Below are 19551 nucleotides of genomic sequence, written 5' to 3'. Positions count from 1 at the left end.
ATTCTGATTCAGTCGGTATGGGTGGAATCTGAAATCTGCATTTTAAGCAAGCTCTCAGGTAATGCCTATCCTATTGGTACACATGACCACACTTTTTGAGTAGCATTGGACGAGACAATGAAGCAGTAGGCAGTAGTTTCTCATTCAATATTTTGGCTAGTATATACCAAACAAAATATAGCCCAGTGATTCTGTATTTGTATTCTATAACTTAGTGTTAGTTACTATTCCTCCTCTAGTTGCAGAATTCCAAAGGTCTACTGACTTATAAAAGTATGACAATCTTGGGGCTAAAACTTTTTCAAAAGGAACACATTAATCCTTGGAGAAACATGATTTACATTATAGGTAGTATTTATCACCAGTTTGTGAAGAATAAGGTAGACTTATATCTTCAGGTCACTTAGGATCCCAGCTCTAAACAACAGGGGAAGAGAAATTAAGAGAACATGAGTGTGGGTATCTAAAATCTCTGTCCTCTACGAACTAATTACTTATTAAACAGTAAATTCAGCTTGTCTCTGCCTGGCAGCCCTGAAAGAACATGAGAGTAGGATGGGGGATAAGGAAACAACTTAGCAGGTAAGAATGAGGCCTCTATTTCACAGGAGAACTACCTCATACCTTCTCAGAATGTCAGTTTTCCAAACTTCAAAATGAAAGAACAGACATCTGATGATCAGCATGCAGGTATATACAATGCCTATTCCCCAGCCATTACTTGGCAATCTCACCTCTAGGGGAAGGTAGGTATGCTTTTGTTCCTGGCCAACTTGTAGGCAGGGCAGATGGGGATACTTGAGCTGAAGGTTATATTTCTGCTTGAAATACTGTGCCACTGTGCACTCCACAGTCTGTCCACTCTCCAGCTGTAAGGGGAATCTGTTCAGAAGAAGGGAAGGAAGGGGGTGTCATAACCCAGCATTCAGTCCCACTTCTCTAGACCCACAACCATGGAAGCCTCAGATTTTTTCCTTTTTCATTTGGCCCCAATATGATGTGCAGGAAGGAAGTCCCAGACTTTGCTTCATCCTATCCAACTTCTTTGAGCATTGCCACTCATGGGAAAACAGGACATACAGGGCTCCAAGAGAGAAGCCAAAGGTTTGAAAGGCAAGTTCCACAAAAGTCAGAAGTCAGGACACTATCTGACTCATTTATTTCCAATGTTGAGCATAAAGCCTGACACAGAGTAGACACTCATAATAATCAGTATAGCCTAAGGTCAAGAATGGGAATGGAATCAATGACAGCTTCCCCAAGGAGCCCAGGAGCCTCGCTTTCTTTTTTCAAGAGAAAGAATAATTTGAGAGAGATTCTAACATTTGCCTAACCCTAACAGGAATCAGAGAACACACTTGTTCTCAAGTAAGGAACCAAAGAGGCGAGGAGATCAAGAAGGTAAAAATGGTAGGGAGAGTATCAACAGATCAGAGAAGGTTGAGAAAGGATGCCAAATTCCCACAGCTTATCTTCAAAAACAGGGCCAGTCCCCAAGGCTCATTCTCAAGGCCAGTGGGGGAGGGAGGGAGGGAAAGATAGTTTTAAATCTCAGCCCTTCTCCACCAACAAAGTATGACTCAGCACCCCTGCCAACTTACGTCTGATGGCTAGCAGGGCGACGGGTAACATTACACACGCGGTACTTCCTCTTCATCTGTCCACAGTGGGTGACTTCCACCTTCAGGCCTGAGATACACACACTGCTTGTCAGGGCTAAAATAGGTTGCTCATGTGCCCAGGCTTGGTCTCTCCCCTGAGCATACCCCAAGGGGATTTCCTCTTAGGGCTAAAGTGGCGCTGTTTCCCTTCCCCTCCTGTTGGGTCCTCACCCTTGATCTCCTTGGTGAAGCGAACGCGCTGAGAGTCCGTGAGGGGCTTGGGCTGCTCATCTATGTTCCTGATGTCCAGCACCTCACACATGAACTCAATCACTGGCTGTGCCTTATAAAAGGCAGTGGCTGAGACTGTGGGGACAGGGTAAAGATAGCTCAGCTCAGGTTCTGTCTTCCACAATACATGGAGGCACAGCAATTTATACCCTCTTCCTTAAAGGGCATTGGGATGGGGGAAGGGGGTGCCAGGGCTGTAGGAATTAGACTAGGAGTGTGGTTGCAGAGCTGGGAGGGATGAGGCTGGGAGTGTGGTCACTGGACTTGGGGTGCCCCTGGCTCCATAGCTCTCCCCACTCACCATCAATGTTGAGCATCATCTTCCACATGGCAGGGCGCACAGACTGGTGAAAGCCGAACCAGACCTCGCGCCCACCCCCCAGCGGGTGGTAGTAGCCCTCAGGCGGTGAGAAGAAGGAGCGGCCCACAGGGGTGTACCTGGCAGGGACAGGCAGAGAACTGGTCCCTCGGGCACAGGCCCCCACCCTGTGAGGCATCCTGGGCACGGAGGAGCCCTGGCCTGAAAGGCAGGACACCGGGGCTTTAATGCCAGCTCTGATGCTTTACTAGTTGTATGACTGACCTTGTACAAGTTTCTACCTTCTCTCTGCCCTGCAGGGACAGATGGGATGAGGCCCAAAGATATCTAAGAAGTTCAGGGCCAGGGCTTTAAACCATCTAAATATAAATACACATTTGCCTGGCAAGTGGTAGGGCTTCAAATAATTTTTTTTTTTAATGGCACTCTGTGGGACCTTAATATGTGCTCCCCCTCCTCCCCTGACAGCAGTTCTGCCAACACTAGTAGCCCAGATACTAACTACACCCAATACCTCATGGATGCCAGGTGCCTCATGGCCACATCCAGGGCTTGCACAGACTCCAAGGGAACAGGGATCTGGCCGCTGACCAGGGCCTCATGCAGCATTCGCCAGCTCACAATGGCTAGCCACTTGATGGAGACCTTAAAGATTCGATCCTTCCCTTCCCCAGGGATTGTCACCTCAAAGTCGACCTTCAGGAGGGTGAAAGAAAGGGATGAAGGATTGCCATTGCTCTGCGAGAATGACCCCCAACTCCATGGATTTGCTGAGAACATGTTTTTCAAGTTGATAGGGGCTCATAATGAAAATCCAGAGTAAGTCTAGCCCCTTAGGTTCTAGCCACCTTGGCTCAGTGCTTCTGTTCCTCTCAACTACCTCTCAGCCTAGCAGGAAGCCCTTAGGTCTATTTTAAGTCTAATCTCAATCTGTTTAGGACACGGACAGGCACATGATAGACTAAATAAACATCAGCACCTACCCACCCCTCACCCTAAAACATACTTTCTCAGCACAAAAGATGAAAAGGATCTCTGGATCTCCAAAGAGGCTTACATGAGCTTGGTTCTACCCCAGACCCCTGACACAGGCCTAGCCTGACTCCCAACCTTACCCGTTCGTTGCCAATGGGCAGTGCTGTGACAGTGTAAATGTTCTTCTTTCCATCATACACAGGCTTGCGATCACCAAAGATCTGAGGCTTGAAATGCTGGACCATGTATTCCACCACTTCCCTGTGGGGGATAGGAGTGGCCTGTGGAAGCTGAGAGACTACCACCACTTCAAGTTTTGGAAGTAATTCAAAGTCCAGGCAATGTCCCATCTATTATACTCACTCCTAACATCTACTCTATGACAGTGCTTCTCAAACTTTAATATTCCTATGAATCACCTGGAGATTTTATTAAAATGTAGCTTCTGATTCAGCAGGTCTAGAGCGAAGCCTGAAATTCTGCATTTCTAGCATGCTCCTAAGTGACACTGCTGGTCCTCAGATCACCAAGGCTGTAATGGACCTGAAAGAGTGGTGTGAGTGCCTTCTGAGAAGAGGGGGAGGCTAAAGGGAGAAAAGCTTGACTCCAGGGTCTATCAACAATCAGGAATAGGGCTAAGTATGGTGGCTCACACCTGTAATCCCAGTACTTGGGCAGCCAAGGCAGGAGGATCACTTGGGCCTAGGAGCTCAAGGCTAGACTAGGCAACAGAGTGAGACCGTATCTTCTACAAAAAAATAAAATGTTTGTAATTAGCTGGGTATGGTGGCATGTGCCTATAATCCCAGTTGTTTGGGAGGCTGAGGCAGGAGGATCACCTGAGGCTGGGAGTTTGGGGTTACAGTGAGCTATAATCACACCACTGCACTCCGGCCTGGGGGACACAGCGAGACCCTGTCTCAAAAAAAAAACAAAAAACAAAAAAAAAGGATGGCCAGGTGCAGTGGATCATGCCTATAATCCCAGCACTTTGGGAGGCCAAGGCGGGCAATTTGCTTGAGCTCCCAAGGTTGAGACCAGCCTGGGCAACATGGAGAAACTCCATCTCTACAAAAAATACAAAAATTAGTCAGGCAAGGTGGTGTGTGCCTACAGTCCCAGCTACTCAGGAGGCTGAAGCGGGAGGATCACTTGAGCCTGAGAGGCAGAGGTTGCAGTGAGCCGAGATCATGCCACTGCACTCCAGCCTGGACGATAAAGTGAGACTCCGTCTCAAAAAAAAAATAAAAAATAAAAAATAAATTAAAACAAAACAAAACAAAAAAATCAGGAACAGAATCTAGGCTGCTCCAATCTAATCCCAGATCTCTAATCCCAGATCTGATAAGCAAAAAAGGTAGAAGAGATGTGAACTGGAATAAGAATAAACTGTGGAAGAAAAATCTCATCTCTTCCATCTCTCTGAAGCACTTAGTCTCACCACCCTATTTTTTCTCCATTACCATCTCTTACTTCCTGACCTCTGAAACTTAGACCCCAGGGTGTCCATTATTCCTTCAAAATTCCAGTTTATCTGACCAACTGACCTTCACACTTTCTAGATCAAAGTTCTTGACTACTACTGGATAACTCAAAATGGTACATTAGAAGCACTGTGATCATATGGTTTCAATCCCAATTAGGCTTCAGTGCTGCCTAGCAATCTTTTTCATGTCCCTGATTACTTCTATCCCTCCTACACTATGTAGACTATGTAGAACTTTCTCCACTAGCCTCTAACTCCAGACCCCGTACTTGTCTCCTACCAGGAAGCAGCTCTAATATTGAAAAAGGCAGAGGATAGTACGCAAGGCCACCCTCGAGTTTCCAGACATATACACAAACATATTTATATGTGTGTGCATCAATTTTTCTCCTTTCTTCTTATACTCAAAATGCCCCTTCCATACATTATTTTTAAACATACGAAAATATATTCAACTTCACTTATTAGAAAAATATAATTTAAAATTAGACCAAGATCAGAATGCCAAAGATCAAAAAAATCTGAAATATTAGATTGGTGCAGGTATAGGAAGACACACTCTGATGCCTTATTGATGGGAGTATAAGTTGATACAACTTACCTTTAAAAACAAGTTGCAATATCTGAAAACTCTGAAATGTATTAGGCCAACAGTCCCACTCCTAGCAATTTATCCTACAAATATACTCATATGAGTGCAAAAATGAATCTATATATAATAATATTCAACAGTTTCATTTTAGTAGCAGAATTTAGACTCAAATGTTCCTCAATAGATTTATTACATAAGTTATATTACAGCCACTCAACCTATGCAAAAGAATGAGGCAGATCCATATGTGCCGGTATGTAATATCTTCAAAAATATATTGTTAAGTGGAAAAATGCAAAGTATAGAACAATGTATAAAGAACCCTATGTTTTGGGTGTTTAAAAATGTTATATGTGCATATATGCCTGTATATATGTAGAAAAGTATCTGGAAGCATATTCAAGAATGGTAACAATTGGCCGGGCATGATGGGTCATGCCTGTAATCCCAGCACTTTGGAAGGCTGAGGCGGGCAGACTGCTTGAGGTCAGGAGTTTGAGACCAGCCTGGCCAACATAGTGAAACCCTGTCTCTACTAAAAATACAAAAATTAGCCAGGCGTGGTGGTGGGTGCCTGTAATCCCAGCTACTAGGGAGGCTGAGGCAGAAGAATCGCTTGAACCCGGGAGGCAGAGGTTGCAGTGAGCCGAGATCACGCCACTGCACTCTAGCCTGGATGACAGAGTGAAACTCCGTCTCAAAAAAAGAAGAGAATGGTAACAATTGGTCAGGCACGGTGGCTCACGCCTGTAATCCCAGTACTTTGGGAGGCCTAGGTAGGCAGATCATCTGAGGTTAGGAGTTTGAGACCAGCCTGGTCAACATGGTGAAACCCTGTCTCTACTAAAAATACCAAAAAATTATCTGGGTATGGTGGGGAGCACCTATAGTCCCAGCTACTCAGGAGGCTGAGGCAGGAGAATCGTTTGCCTGTCATCCCAGCTACTCGGGAGGCAGAGGCACGAGAATTGCCTGAACCTAGGAGGCAGAGGGTGCAGTGATCTGAGATGGCGCCACTGCACTCCAGCTTGGGCGACAGAGGGAGAAAGAAAAATCTAATTTTTCTTTCTCAAAAAGAAAAAAAGGTAACAATTAATGGTACTGGGGGACTAGAGACCAGGATAGTAAGGAGACATTTTTCACTATTATTCTTTTTGTAATATTTGAATTTTTTAATATTATACATATAGTTTTCAAATAATAAAATTAATTAAAGAAATATCACAGAGGCCGGGCACGGTGGCTCACGCCTGTAATCCCAGCACTTTGCGAGGCCAAAGTGGGCAGGTCACCTGGGGTCAGGAGTTAGAGACCAGCCTGGCCAACATGGTGAAACTCCGTCTCTACTAAAAATACAAAAAAATTAGCCAGGCATGGTGGCAGATGCCTGTAATCCCAGTTAGGAGGCTGAGCCAGGAGAATAGCTTAAAGCTGGGAGACAGAGGTTGCAGTGAGTTGAGATCGCGCCATTGCACTCCAGCCTGGGCAAGAGCAAAACTCCCTCTCAAAAACAAAACAAGAGAAAAACTCCCTCTCAAAAAAAAAAAAAAAAAAAAGGAAATATCACTTCCTCTAAATAAGGCTAATCCCTCCAACTGTGCATCCTACAACGTCCTTCTGCCTCATCAAGGACATCCCATTCATTTCTCCCCTCTGTCCTTCTGCCTCATCAAGGACATCCCATTCATTTCTCCCCTCTGTCCTTCTGCCTCATCAAGGACATCCCATTCATTTCTCCCCTCTGTCCCATACCTTTAACCTCTCCCTCTTTACTAGCTCCTTCTCCTTAATCTGTAAACATACCCATATCTCATTCTTTAAAACTCTTTATTCATTCAACTAATATTGAAATGTAGTAGGTACTGTACTTATTTCTTAACTCAATGTAGTTAGATTAACTAGCTCAACTACTTTCTGCTGAAATTGCTCTGGCAAAAGCCACTAATAATCTTCCAATAGCGAAGTCCAATTGGACTATTTTTCAGCATTTACCCGACGTGGCATCTCCCGTTCAAAAACTTCCTTAGATTTGGTGATACTACCCTCTACTGGTTTTTCTTTTACCTTTCTGGCCCCTCTTTCAAGGTTGGTGTCTTTCAGATTTGGTGGCTTAGGTGTGCATCACTTACCGGTTGACTCTACGGGGACACTTATCCGGCTTGATGTCCACCTCGTAGTGGTACACGTCGATCTTAGGGATGTCCACCTCAAAGTAATTGGCCAGGAGCTTGATTGGTTTCCCCACAGTGCCAATGCCAGGCCGGCGAGGTGCCTGGAACACCTGCTGCAGGGGGGGCAGGTAAGCGCCCGCAGCTACAAGACAAAGAGGCTGGTGAGGGTAAAGTCTGGCAATCTCCTAACTACTCTTATCAGAGGAGGAACAAGGCCTCCCAGAACAGGAACACGAGAGTATAGAGAATGCCTCTTTCCTGCTACCCAACCCAGCCAAGGGCTTCCAGGGGACATCTCAAGCTCATCTGTGTTTTTTCTCTTTTTTCTTTTTTAATCTCTCTCCAGTTAGGAAAATTATCCTTATTGTCTATTTTTAATTCATTAAGTTAATATATAATAAGTTCCTATTGCATGTTAAGCAGAGAGACTAAATCTGGCTCCTAGTAACAAAACCCTTTCTTTCTTCTAGTAGAGTAAGACACTTGCCTCCACCAGGTATCTAGCAGACCAAGAATTTCTATTCTCTGCCAGCCAGATGCTCACTCCATTCGCCACCATGCTGAATACAAAATGGCATAACCTTGATGTTCCTTTATAGGTGGGCAGGAATAAGATCCAGACAAGGCCAGGCTGGAGAGGGCAGGGTCAGTGTTTGAGGCAGAATTAAGGCAACTGAATGGCGAGAGTTGGAGACAGGGAAAAGGAGAAAAGGCTCAAAGGACAGAGTTTGGAGACTAAGGAAAAGAGAAAGGGGGTTGGAGAAGAGGACAGAGCTGGAGGTCACAAAAGAAAAAGGCCAGGAGAAAGAGAAGGCTGGAGTCAAGGGGTGGGGCAAAAGAGGTTAGGGTTGGAAGCTCAGGCAGGAAGAAACAAAGCAGCAACTGGGGAGACAATGATAAAAAAAAAAGCTTGAATAAAGAAAGAACTAACGGGTTTGGGAAGAAGAGGTGGCAATTAGAATGCTGGAGAAGAGACACTGGCTCTGGGAAGAACACAAGATTCTCTCCATGCCCCACAGATCCTTCCACACAGAAGGTCCAGACAGCAGCAGAAGAGATCAATTTCAAGACAGAGGAGGCCCTTGGGAAAGGGATAGGGTAAGGCCAGATCCAGCTACTTTACCCTCTTTTGCCAGTCTGGCTGCTGTCTCCAGTCTTATTTTCTAGCTTGGGGGGAAGAGAGAAAAAAAGGGAATAATATGCTGCTATTGTTCTTGGCAGTAGAGAACTAGCCCAGGTGGGAGAAGAGAGGGATAAACCAGCCCAGAACCTCCCATTATCAGACTTCTGCTTTCACAGTCAGACAAGCTGGGGGGATGGGGCATACCCTCAGCTGGGGGTCAGGAAGAGGTCAGAACCATTCATGGGAGGGGCAGCTTCCCAGAGCTAAGCTGCTCTGTTTCCCTCTAACCACCTGTCCAAGCCCAGTCCCACTCTGCAGACAGGGAAATGAAGGCCCAGCCTGGATGGAAAAGGTCTTCAGAACTCAGCTACATGGGGAAGGGAAAACCTATCTACTAGCACCTGGCTGCCTACCTCAGAAAGTGCTGGACAGAAATTGCACACAAGCTCACGGACAGACAGACACACATCCCCATCACACACATCCAAACACACACTTAGACCTTGGCAATTTACACTTACACACATATCCTTCACTGCCCTAGACTGAGTTCTTCAAAGGCAGGGACTATATCTGCCTTGGTCACTGTTTAATTTCCAGTGTCTGACACACACACAGGAAGTATTCAACATACTGATATGAAATGAATGAACAAACATATCCATAGACACACCACAAAAACACACAAGCACACACAGCACACAGACACACGAACACCTGCAATTGCCCAGAAACAATTATAAACACTACACAAGACAAATATGCACGTTTGTGGGTGTAGCCAGTAAGAGACATCCTTTCCCTCCCCAAGTTCTTATATTTCATTCACCTTCTTCCCCTCCCAGACTGAATAATCATTTGGGGCCTTCGGAGAAAGATAACTCCTAGAGCTGGGGGGCTAGTTAGAAATGATGGGGGATGGGACAGACACTCTAGCCTCAAAGCCTTCTCTTCCCCAGAAACCCGACTACATACCACACATAGCCTTAGAGCACCTTCCTCTCCAAAGAGGCTTTGGGAAAACAGGGGAGCCCACACCCCCACTTCATCTCCAAACTAGGAAAGACAGCAGGAAGCAGGAACCTCTCTCCCATTACATCCCCCTGAAAGCCTAACAACAGCACTGTCTCCTCCCCGCCCCCCTTACCCCAGCTTTTAGTCTGAGAAAGGGAGACACTTCCCTACAGACCCAGACAGGGACAGACGGCCACTTTGTGATGCAGATGAGGGCCCCAGCACAGAGGACAAAGCTTGGGCCTAGGGGGAAAGGGGCGGGACCCTTCTCTTCAGACAAAAGCAAGGAGGGAGGGGCCCTGAAAAGGACACTCCCCCTCCCCCATCCCCAAGGAGCCCAGAGAAGGAAAAGTAACAGAGCTGAAAACCCTGGCTCAGGATTCCTTTCTTGCAGTTCTGAGGCCCACACACCTCCCAAGGAGCCAGACTGCCTATTCAAAAGACACAAATTCAAGGTTAGGTTAGGTTAGGTTAGCTGGTGGGCAAGCAAAGACTAACAAGCCAATCTCTCCAAAAAGGATCTGTTCCATGTGAGTATACACTTTATTAAATATCCACATACGTGCTTAACCATTTATGTTCACACTTGAATGTGATTTGATTTAATTAATAAACATGTATTCTGTGCCAGGGCCTATACACTAGGCACTTGCTAGTTCTACAAATAAACCAGACACTGCTTCTACCCTCAGGGAGCACCCAGTCCACTGTATGTGCTTGGAACACACCTGAGCACAGAAGGCAGACCTGGGCATAAGCCCAGTGAGGCTAGCAACAATGCTTTAGTTTTTGGGGGGTTTTTTGTTGTTGTTTTTTACACAACGCTTTAGTTTTGTGTATTATGTCCTCAGGCCACCTTGGGACACCACTCTAACTTCTTATAAGAGAACAGTCCGGGCCTAGGAAGGAGGCAGTTATGGGGTCCCTCAATTTGCAGCTTCCAGACTGAATCTCAATTATACCCTTTACTGAGGCAAAGCCTGTCCTATTCGGCTTTTCCCAAGGCTTTGGCTGACTCCAAACAGCAGGTTCTAGCTCCTTTCCTATAAGCTTATTTTTTGTAACAAATTTTTAAAAAGTCAATTTTTCATCACTCCAGAGCCTATTAGGAATTCATCAGGATAAAAATCATTAGTCTAGAATGGGTACCAGCAACCAGCAATCCATGTGGACCTCAATGACCTACCCCACTACTCTAGTTCATGGGTTGTTGGAAATAGTCCCCAGCCTTGAAAAACAGAAGTTCCTGGGATGGAGAGAGGGTCCTGACAGAGAGGAAGTACTCAAGTCAGTTGCTCCCTGTGCTTATCCTTACGACTACACAGTCTATACAAGGCTGGTTGTTAAGAGGGAAAACAGTCACTAAGTACTTAGAGATCACTAAATGGATAACTTGAGTGAGGTCGTAGGAGCTATTTCCTTGGGAGGGTGGGAGGGAGTTAGGTCTGCTACAAAAAAAACAAAATAATTCCACTAGGAAAGTAATGAAGTTCATGGCCTAAATGGAAATTTGATTCCCATCCCCAGACCAAATGTAAGGAAGTGGTGAGAGATGACCTGAAGGATTCCCAGGTCCAGGCTCCTCGTCCCATCACAGGGTAAGACACTTAAGACACAAGAGGTATCACCACCCCACAGCCCATCCTAAGGACTCCAGTTTTCTTGAGGCAATCCTGCCTCAGTTTATCCTCTGTTCCTATGTCTTTTCCTCCTCATTGCCTGCAAATAAGAAGTTAAGGCTATCACCTAGGCCTCACCAGGATGAAGGCTATAAACTCCCCCATCCTCCAACGTGTTTGTAGGGTTTAGATCTTGGCTCTAAAGACAGCCCTGACAGTTTCTGGGGAGTGGGGAGAGGAAAACGGAAAGATATCCAGTGGAAGATAGGAGCCATGAAAATATTAAGAAATATTAGAATAAATGTTATAAATGTAGAGTGTAACCTTAACAGACAATTCAATGGAAAATCTTTGGATTAAAAGCCCCCATCACTACTCAGTATTGGAGCAGAAACTTGCAAACCAAGCAGACAACTCCTTCCAGGTAGCCCCTGCCCTGTCCTTGATTCCTCCGTAACCAATACCTTTCCTAAGGCCTATCTTCAGGAGGACCCACCCCCAGAACCCATCGCTTCGGTCCCAGTCTTTCCTGTGGCAGAAAAATGCACTTTGGCAGCTTCCCTCAACCCATTCTTAGCAAACTGTGACTGAGGGCCAAGTGTAAGAGCCCCTAAAATGGGGGAGGGGACCATAACCATTTGCACACTGCCAGCATAACCTAAGAGAGAATGCACCCCATCAGCGCGCTCCTTTTTCCAAGCCAAACGGGGCGGGGCGGGGGGGTGTGGAGAGGTGGGGGTATTCGGACAGCCACGCCCCCACCACGTCGGGCAGCCCCTTCCAGCTGCCACCTCCGCGCATGCTCTGGAGCCTCCGCTCCGACTCCCCAGACCCACGGGGGGTAATCCCGGGACTGGGTCCCCACCCACCGCCCCCTGACCCTCGCCCTCGCGTCAGGCCCAGTGGGGCGGAGCTCACAGTCCAGCTCTGGCGCCTTCTCCCAAGAGACATTAGCCTATTCCAGCCCAGCGGAGCCCCCGCCCCCGGCATGCGGTAGCTCCAGGCCCATCTGTGTCGCCCCCTCCTCTCCTGGACACCTGGAGCCCGTCCCCTGCCACCTGCCGGGCCTCTCCGTAGGCCTCCACGGATGTCTGGGAGTCCTTCCGTGCGTGCAGGCCCTTCTCCCAGATTACTTCCAACCCGCAGGACTGTATACAGCCTCCTTGGACAAACAGCCCCCATCTCAGGGCTCTCTTCACATGGTTCTCCCCCGGAACTGCACACAGCCTCCTTCAAACTGGGCCCCCATCGTGGGAGAGCCCTTCTCCTCACTCAGGAGCGCTTCCATCACTTGGAAACCACGCTTTTCATGCGGGATCCCCCAGTCCTTGGAGCATGCACCGTTCCCCCTCCTGGGGACCCTTACCTGCTCCCGAGGGTCCCGCTTCCATCCCATATACCCGTGCGGAGGTCAGGCGGCCCGGAGACTGTGAAGTCCAGCGTGAGGGGCCTAGGTACCCCACACTCTCGCTGCTCGGGATCCCGGGCCGGGCTCGGCTCCCCTACCAAGCCCGGCCGCTCGCGCCGCCGCCCCCGCAGCCTCCGTTGCCGCCGCCGCGGAGCCTGCAGCAGCTCCCACTGCGAGCGCCCGGCCAGCTGCCAGTGCGCAGGCGCGACCGCCGGGCCCAGGGGGCGGACCGGAACGAGTCAAGCGGGGCGCTCCGACGGCAACAAAGGCCAATGGAGAGGGGCGGGGGCACCGGGGACCCAAGGCAGCGGCCCCTGGCGGTCACCCGTCGCCATGCAGCCCGGCGGGAGGGCGCCAGTAGAGGTGCCTTGGAACCGCGCAGTGGTATAAGTGGGGCAGGGCGAAGGGACATCCCGCCACAGCAGCCTTCAGCCCTGTGTCTTTTCCCCAAATAGGTCCCTCCAAACCTACACACAGCCCCCGCCTGTCGCACCGAGCTGCGCGCACACATTATGGGAACCCCACTTCATTCCCAGACCCCCTGGCACTCCAGCGCCCAGGGGCCCTGCCTCCCACCTCTCCTCCCAATCACCCTCATCCTTCAAGCCTTGGCTGCAAAGCGACTGCCTCCACGAAGTCTTTCTCCGTCCCTAGTCACTGAACTCACTGACGCCACCCCCTCTTCCACGCCATGTGCTGGACGCTGAGACCACAGATAAGTAGAGACGCGGCCTACCCTGGAAGATGTCACAGTTTGAACTTAAGTGCAGCTACAGAGCTCTATCCGCCGGACCTGGGAAGCACCTGCCTCCACTTTCTCATCTACAGTTCATGCCTGAACTGTCAATCAGCTTCTGCCCTCATCACGTCACTTAAATGACTTTTGGGGTTGACATCCAAAGGATACTTTTCAATTATTTCTCTGCAGCATCTGTCACTGTGCCTCTACTTCCCTTCTGAGCCTTCTACTTGGCTGCGGCATCTTCTGCAGTCTCCTATTGCCTAAGTCCTTTTCAGTCTTTCTAAAGGGCCCCTTTTGCTTTTGCCTCATTAACTGTTCACTGTGGTTCCAAACCCAGCTCTCTTCTCATTCCACTCTCCCCTTAAAGGTCTCATCCACTCTTACGGCCCAACTATCCTTCCAAATCTCTGTTTCCAACCATGTCTCATACTCACATTTCCAAGTGTTTGCTGGACAGCTCCACCTGGATATCCTACCAGCACTTCAAATTTAAGAAGTCCAAACCAAACACTTTATCTTTCACTCACAAACATACTTGCCCTGTGCTTCCTATCTCAGCGAACAGCACCTTCATGTCAGAAATGACAGTTCCTCTATCCCTTGTTCTTTCCATCTATTCAGCTGTTCACCACGTCTTGACATGTTTACCTTCTGAACTGCTCTCACATGATTCACTGCCATTCTGATGGTTTCTTATGCTGGTGCAGACCCTTATCATATCTTGCTAGACGTATCACAACCACTTCCTTGCTAGTCTCAAAGTTTCTGGGAACTCCCATTCTCCCTCCTATTCGGTCTGGTGCAGTGATAGGCGGGGTAAGAGACCCAGCTCAAACATCACTTTCCCATAAACTCACAAATTTTTGATGCCTGCTTTACACTAGATGCCATGCAGAGGCTGGGAACTTAAGGGATGGACCATAACCGGTCCTTACTCATGAGGAGATTAATTTCTGACACTTATACCATGCCTTGCTTCTAGAGGTTCTCAAACAGCAACCATCAGAATCACCTGGAAAGCTTGTTAAAACTTGGATTGGTGGCTGGGCGCAGTGGCTCACGCCTGTAATCCCAGCACTTTGGGAGGCCAAGGCGGGTGGATCACCTGAGGTCAGGAGTTCAAGACCAGCCTAGCCAACATAGTGAAGTCTCGTCTCTACTAAAAATACAAAAAATTAGCCAGGTGTTGTGGCAGACACCTGTAATCCCAGCTACTCAGGAGGCTAAGGCAGGAGAATAGCTTGAACCGGGGAGGGGGAGGTTGCAGTGAGCTGAGATCACGCCATTGTACTTCAGCCTGGGCAACAAGAGTGAAACTCCGTCTCAAAAAAAAACAAAAACCAAAAAACAAAACTTGGATTGGTAAGCCCTGCCTCTAGAGTTTTCGATTCAGTAGGTGTTGGGTGGGACCCAAAAATGTGCATTTCTAACAAGTTTCCAGATAAGGCTGATGATGCTGCCGATCTGGGGACTATGAGAATTACTGCTTTACATACGAAGTAGAGGTGAAGAACAAAGACTCTGGAGCCAGACTGTCTCGGTTTCAATATTGGCCCTGCATTTACTAGACATGTAATAGTAGGCACATTATTTAACTTCTCCGTGTCTCAATTTCCTCCTCTGTAAAATGGCAGTGGTAATAGTACCTACCTCATTCGGTTGTTGTGAAGATTAAATGAGTTAATACATAAAAACACTTCAGTGGCCGGGCACAGTGGTTCACGCCTGTAATCTCAGCACTTTGGGAGACCAAGGCAGGCAGATCACCTGAGGTCAGGAGTTCGAGACCAGCCTGGCCAACATGGTGAAACCCCATCTACACTAAAAATACAAAAATTAGCTGAGCATAATGGCACACGCCTGTAGTCCCAGCTCCTCGGGAGGCTGAGGCACAAGAATCGCTTGAACCTGGGAGGCAGAGGTTGCAGTGAGCTGAGATCATGCCACTGCACTCCAGCCTGGGTGACAAAGCAAGACTCCATCTCAAAAAACAAAAAACAAAACGAAACAAAAACACTTTAGAACAGTGCCTAAAAAGAATGCAAGCAAAATATCAGCTGCTATCATAATCATTACTTGCCTCTCACACTATATTCTTTTTTTGAGACAGGGTCTTACTCTGTTACCCAGGCTGTAGTGCAGCTGCACAATCTGGACTCTGCAGTCTCCACCTCTCAGGCGCAAGTAATTCTCCCACCTCAGTCTCCCGAGTTGCTGAGACTACAGGTGCATGCCACCATGCCTGACTTTTTATTTATTTATTTACTTACTTATTGTAGAGATGAGGGTCTCGCTATATTGCCCAGGCTGGTCTTGAACTCCTGAGCTCAAGCAATCCCCCTGCCTCAGCCTCCCAAAGACTCTTCTTATGGAATGCTGAGGTCCCAGCTCAGTTACACTAGGGCAAAGGTCCCAGCTCAGTTACACCAGGGCAAAGGTGAGCTACCACACCTGGCTCCACACTACCATCTAAGTTCCTTAAAAACAGGGACAATATCAGATACACTGCTGTCCTCCTTTAGTGCTTGGCACAAGCTGTGCCTAGAATGATCAGTAAATTTGGGTTTACCTGAATCAACAAGATGGCATCAAAAAGCACTCAGAAAAACTCTCAAAAAACTCTCAAAGGTCTCAGAAAGACCTCTGCCCTGATGTAACTGAGCTGGAACCTCAGCATTCCATAAGAAGAGTCTGACTCCCCTGTTCTAAATACTCAACCTCATACTTAACTTTGTGCAAAGGCAGTAGTCACTATTCTGACCCATCTCCAAAGCAGCTAGTGAAGTCAAGCCTGGCCCCAGCCTCTCAAAGTCCTTCTGTACAGTGCACCTATAATCAGGGACTTCACTCTCAGCTAGGCAAAGTGGCAGAGTAAAATGGAAATCCAGATAGCATTTTGCTTTTTTTTTTTTTTTTTTTTTTTTTTTTGAGACAGAACCTCACTCTGTCGCCCAGGCTGGAGTGCAGGGGCACAATCTTGGGTCACTGCAGCCTCTGCCTCCCAACTTCAAGCAATTCTCGTGCCTCTGCCTCCCGAGTAGCTGGGGTGACAGGCACATGCCACCACACCCAGCTAATTTTTGCGCCATGTTGGCCAGGCTGGTCTCAAACTCCTGACCTCAGGTGATCCGCCCACCTCGGCCTCCCAAAATGCTGGGATTACAGGAGTGAGCCACTGCGCCCAGCTGCATTTTACTTTTTTTTATTTTTTTTTGAGATGGAGTTTTGCTCTGGTTGCCCAGGCTGGAGTGCAATGGCACGATCTTGGCTCACAGTAACTTCCACCTCCCGGGTTCAAGCGATTCTCCTGCCTCAGCCTCCCAAGTAGCTGGGATTGCAGGCATGCACCACCACACCTGGCTAATTTTGTATTTTTAATATAGACAGGGTTTCTCCATGTTGGTCAGGCTGGTCCAAACTTCTGACCTCAGGTGATCCACCCGCCTCGGCCTCCCAAAGTGCTGGGATTACAGGCATAAGCCACCGTGCTCAGCCCCTGCATTTTACTTTTTTATGCTGATAAACTTCTTTCAGTAATCCCTGATATATGTTCCACCAAACCTATTGGCTCCTTCTGTTTCCATTTCATCCTTGCATCTCAGTCCATAGCTAACTCACACCTAAGGGCCTCTGCTGTGTGGGCCAGAGTCTTCTACTTAGATATCTTCTCTATACAAAGAATTTCCTGGAGCCAATATAATAAGAATGGCCTGAGAAAAGTTTGCATCCCAATCTACATTTTCCTCTTTTAATGTTAAAAAAAAAAACAACTGAGGAAAAAAAGAAATCAATGTAGTATAATTAACAGATTAAATAAGTAAAAGGATTCAAAAAAATAACCAAAAATCTGTAGCATTCACTGCTGGTACCAGTAATAACTAATTATGATAAAATATCCAATTCAAAATTCTTGGAAATAAACTTCATGAGATGTATGTGATTTGTATGAGAAAATCTATAAGAACCAATAAGAAGACATACAAAATAACCTGAGTTAAGAAGAGAAAGAGGCCGAGTTCCTGGACGGAAAATAATGTAATAATGTCTATTGGACATTTGCTACTCCAGCCTCCAAGTTCTGAGGATGAGCATCAGGTATCCCTACCCATCCCCATGTAGTGTGCCCCAGAAATTCAAAGATACAAGGATGTAATTGAGCCAGTCCATACCGCTAAGAAGAAACAAATACATATATCAGTGCTGTCCAACAGGAGTATCATATGAGCTAAATATGTAATTTTAGAATTTCTTTTAGCTATGTTATAAAAATTAAAAAGGAGCCGGGCGTGGTGGCTCACACCTGTAATCCCAGCACTGTGGGAGGCCGAGCCGGGAGGATCATGAGATCAGGAGATTGAGACTGTCCTGGCTAACAAGTTGAAACCCCATCTCTACTAAAAATACAAAAAAAATTAGCCAGGCATGGTGGTGGGTGCCTAAAGTCCCAGCTGCTCGGGAGGCTGAGGCAGGAGAATGGCGTGAATCCGGGAGGCAGAGATTGCAATAAGCCGAGACTGCACCACTGCACTCCAGCCTGGGTGACAGAGCAAGACTCCATCTCAAAAAATAAATAAATAAATAAATAAAAATAAAAAGGAAACAGGTGAAATTAATTTTAGTAATATATTTAACCCCCCAAATCAACATAGCAATATAAAAATTACTAATATTGGGCCGGGTGCAGTGGCTCACCCCTGTAATCCCAGCACTTTGGGAAGGCGAGGTGGGCAGATCATGAGGTCAGGAGTTCAGGACCAGCCTGGCCAATATGGTGAGACCCCATCTCTACTAAAAATACAAAAATTAGCTGGGCGTGGTGGCGCTCGCCTGCTACTCAGCTACTGGGGAGGCTGAGGCAGAAGAATCACTTGAACTCAGGGGGCAGAGGTTGCAGTGAGCCGAGATCATGCCACTGAACTCCAGCCTGGGTGACAAAGCAAGACTCCTTCTCAAAAAAAAAAATTACTAATATTTTATATTTTTATGTAAGTCTGAAATTCAGTGTGTATTTTACACATAACACATCTCAATTCAGACTAGCCACATTTCAAATGCTTAATACATGTGGTTAGTGGCCACTGTACTGGACAGTATAGATGATAATTTCAATGAAACTTTAAGTGTAATGACAGAGGCACATGGGCGACATGGGAACTAAGAGGAGGTATGTCTAATCTAGTCTGGGATAATCAGGGTAGGTTACATAGAAGAGATATCTACTTAAACAGGCCTGTGAGGATGAGCAGGAATTAGCCAGGCAAAGGAAAGATGGGAGAAAGGTGTACTAAGCAGCATTAACAGAAAGTATGAAGTGAGAAATAGCACATTACACCAGGAACTATCAGTAGTAATATTCTTGCATAAAAATGGAAGGAAGAAGCACTGAGAAAAGAAGCTAGAGAAGTATACCATCACGAAATCTGCCCATTCGCTCCCTAGCCCAAGCCAGGGGAAAGGCAGCAAAGGTGACAGGAGGAGCTGTCCCTGGTTCTGACACTCTATGCAGATTCACGGTTCAGTTTCACCCAGCCTGAAACCGAACTGACCCAGATCAAGCCTATTTTCCTGCATCTTCTCTAGCACACACGAAGGCCCCAAAACCCTAAACTTGGCCTGGCAGAACAGGAAAGCCTAGCAGCTTTGGACAGGCTGCCCTGGATGAGCACAGGCAATAGAGTAAGATCCCCTCTCTACAAAAAATAGAAAAATTAGCCAGGTGTGGAGGAGCATGCCTGCAGTCCCAACTACTCAGGAGGCTGAGGCAGGAGGATCACTTAAGCCCAGCCCAGGTGGTCGAAGCTGCAGTGAACCATGACTGCACCACTGCATTCCAGCCTGGGGGACACAGCCAAAGCCTGTCTCTTAAAAAACAAAATTCTCTATAGCATGCAATACTGTTTGATAGCATTTTACCCACAGTAGAACTTCCCTCAAAATTGGAGTCAATCCTCTCAAACACTGTCACTGCCATATCAACTAGGTTTATGCAATATTCTAAATATATTGTTGACATTTCAACAATGTTCACAGCACTTTCACCAGAGTCAATTTCACCTCAAGAAATCACTTTCTTTGTTCATCCATAAGAAGGATTTCCAGCCGGGCACAGTGGCTCACACCTGTAATCCCAGCACTTTGGGAGGCCGAGGTGGGCGGATCACGAAGTCTGGAGATCAAGACCATCCTGGCTAACACGGTAAAACCCAGTCT

At 47.1% G+C, this 19551-nt stretch overlaps 1 protein-coding gene across 4 annotated transcripts in view, besides 5 other annotated features; it reads right to left on the bottom strand.

The window, feature by feature from the left end:
• The window catches only part of AGO1 (argonaute RISC component 1), a 60772-nt gene that overhangs the window by 34529 nt on the left and 6692 nt on the right, over nucleotides 1-19551 (bottom strand). For 3 of the 4 annotated variants that reach the window (XM_011541236.3, NM_012199.5, NM_001317122.2), the window contains exons 1-8: nucleotides 12558-12795; nucleotides 7394-7577; nucleotides 3327-3447; nucleotides 2726-2907; nucleotides 2194-2330; nucleotides 1833-1967; nucleotides 1602-1689; nucleotides 735-882 (exon numbers count right to left, since the gene is read on the bottom strand). In XM_011541236.3, coding sequence (XP_011539538.1) covers nucleotides 735-882; nucleotides 1602-1689; nucleotides 1833-1967; nucleotides 2194-2330; nucleotides 2726-2907; nucleotides 3327-3447; nucleotides 7394-7577; nucleotides 12558-12582 — 1020 coding nt within the window. In that variant the 5' untranslated portion in view covers nucleotides 12583-12795. Of the gene's footprint in view, nucleotides 1-734; nucleotides 883-1601; nucleotides 1690-1832; nucleotides 1968-2193; nucleotides 2331-2725; nucleotides 2908-3326; nucleotides 3448-7393; nucleotides 7578-12557; nucleotides 12796-19551 lie in introns of those variants that run through there. The other variant, NM_001317123.2, reaches the window with a different exon arrangement.
• Nucleotides 617-1816: an enhancer, noted in NCBI's record as "MED14-independent group 3 enhancer chr1:36359789-36360988 (GRCh37/hg19 assembly coordinates)". NCBI's record gives its function as "activates an origin of replication core promoter dependent on BRD2, BRD4, P300/CBP and CDK7 cofactors, and independent of MED14, by STARR-seq in HCT116 cells {active_cell/tissue: HCT116}" and the evidence as "EXISTENCE:reporter gene assay evidence [ECO:0000049][PMID:35650434]".
• Nucleotides 1816-1865: an enhancer, noted in NCBI's record as "active region_740". NCBI's record gives its function as "activates an Ori minimal core promoter by ATAC-STARR-seq in GM12878 lymphoblastoid cells {active_cell/tissue: GM12878}" and the evidence as "EXISTENCE:reporter gene assay evidence [ECO:0000049][PMID:35858748]".
• Nucleotides 8886-8945: an enhancer, noted in NCBI's record as "active region_739". NCBI's record gives its function as "activates an Ori minimal core promoter by ATAC-STARR-seq in GM12878 lymphoblastoid cells {active_cell/tissue: GM12878}" and the evidence as "EXISTENCE:reporter gene assay evidence [ECO:0000049][PMID:35858748]".
• Nucleotides 9583-10222: an enhancer, noted in NCBI's record as "OCT4-H3K27ac hESC enhancer chr1:36351383-36352022 (GRCh37/hg19 assembly coordinates)". NCBI's record gives its function as "activates a minimal SCP1, AML or CMV promoter by ChIP-STARR-seq in naive H9 embryonic stem cells {active_cell/tissue: H9 hESC(naive)}" and the evidence as "EXISTENCE:reporter gene assay evidence [ECO:0000049][PMID:30033119]".
• Nucleotides 12573-13032: a silencer, noted in NCBI's record as "silent region_649". NCBI's record gives its function as "represses an Ori minimal core promoter by ATAC-STARR-seq in GM12878 lymphoblastoid cells {active_cell/tissue: GM12878}" and the evidence as "EXISTENCE:reporter gene assay evidence [ECO:0000049][PMID:35858748]".

The sequence above is a fragment of the Homo sapiens genome, chromosome 1 (assembly GCF_000001405.40).
Source record: "Homo sapiens chromosome 1, GRCh38.p14 Primary Assembly".
Taxonomy (NCBI): Eukaryota; Metazoa; Chordata; class Mammalia; order Primates; family Hominidae; genus Homo; species Homo sapiens.
The sequence above is the reverse complement of the archived record's forward strand: the minus strand, read 5'-3'. Positions and strand labels throughout refer to the sequence as shown.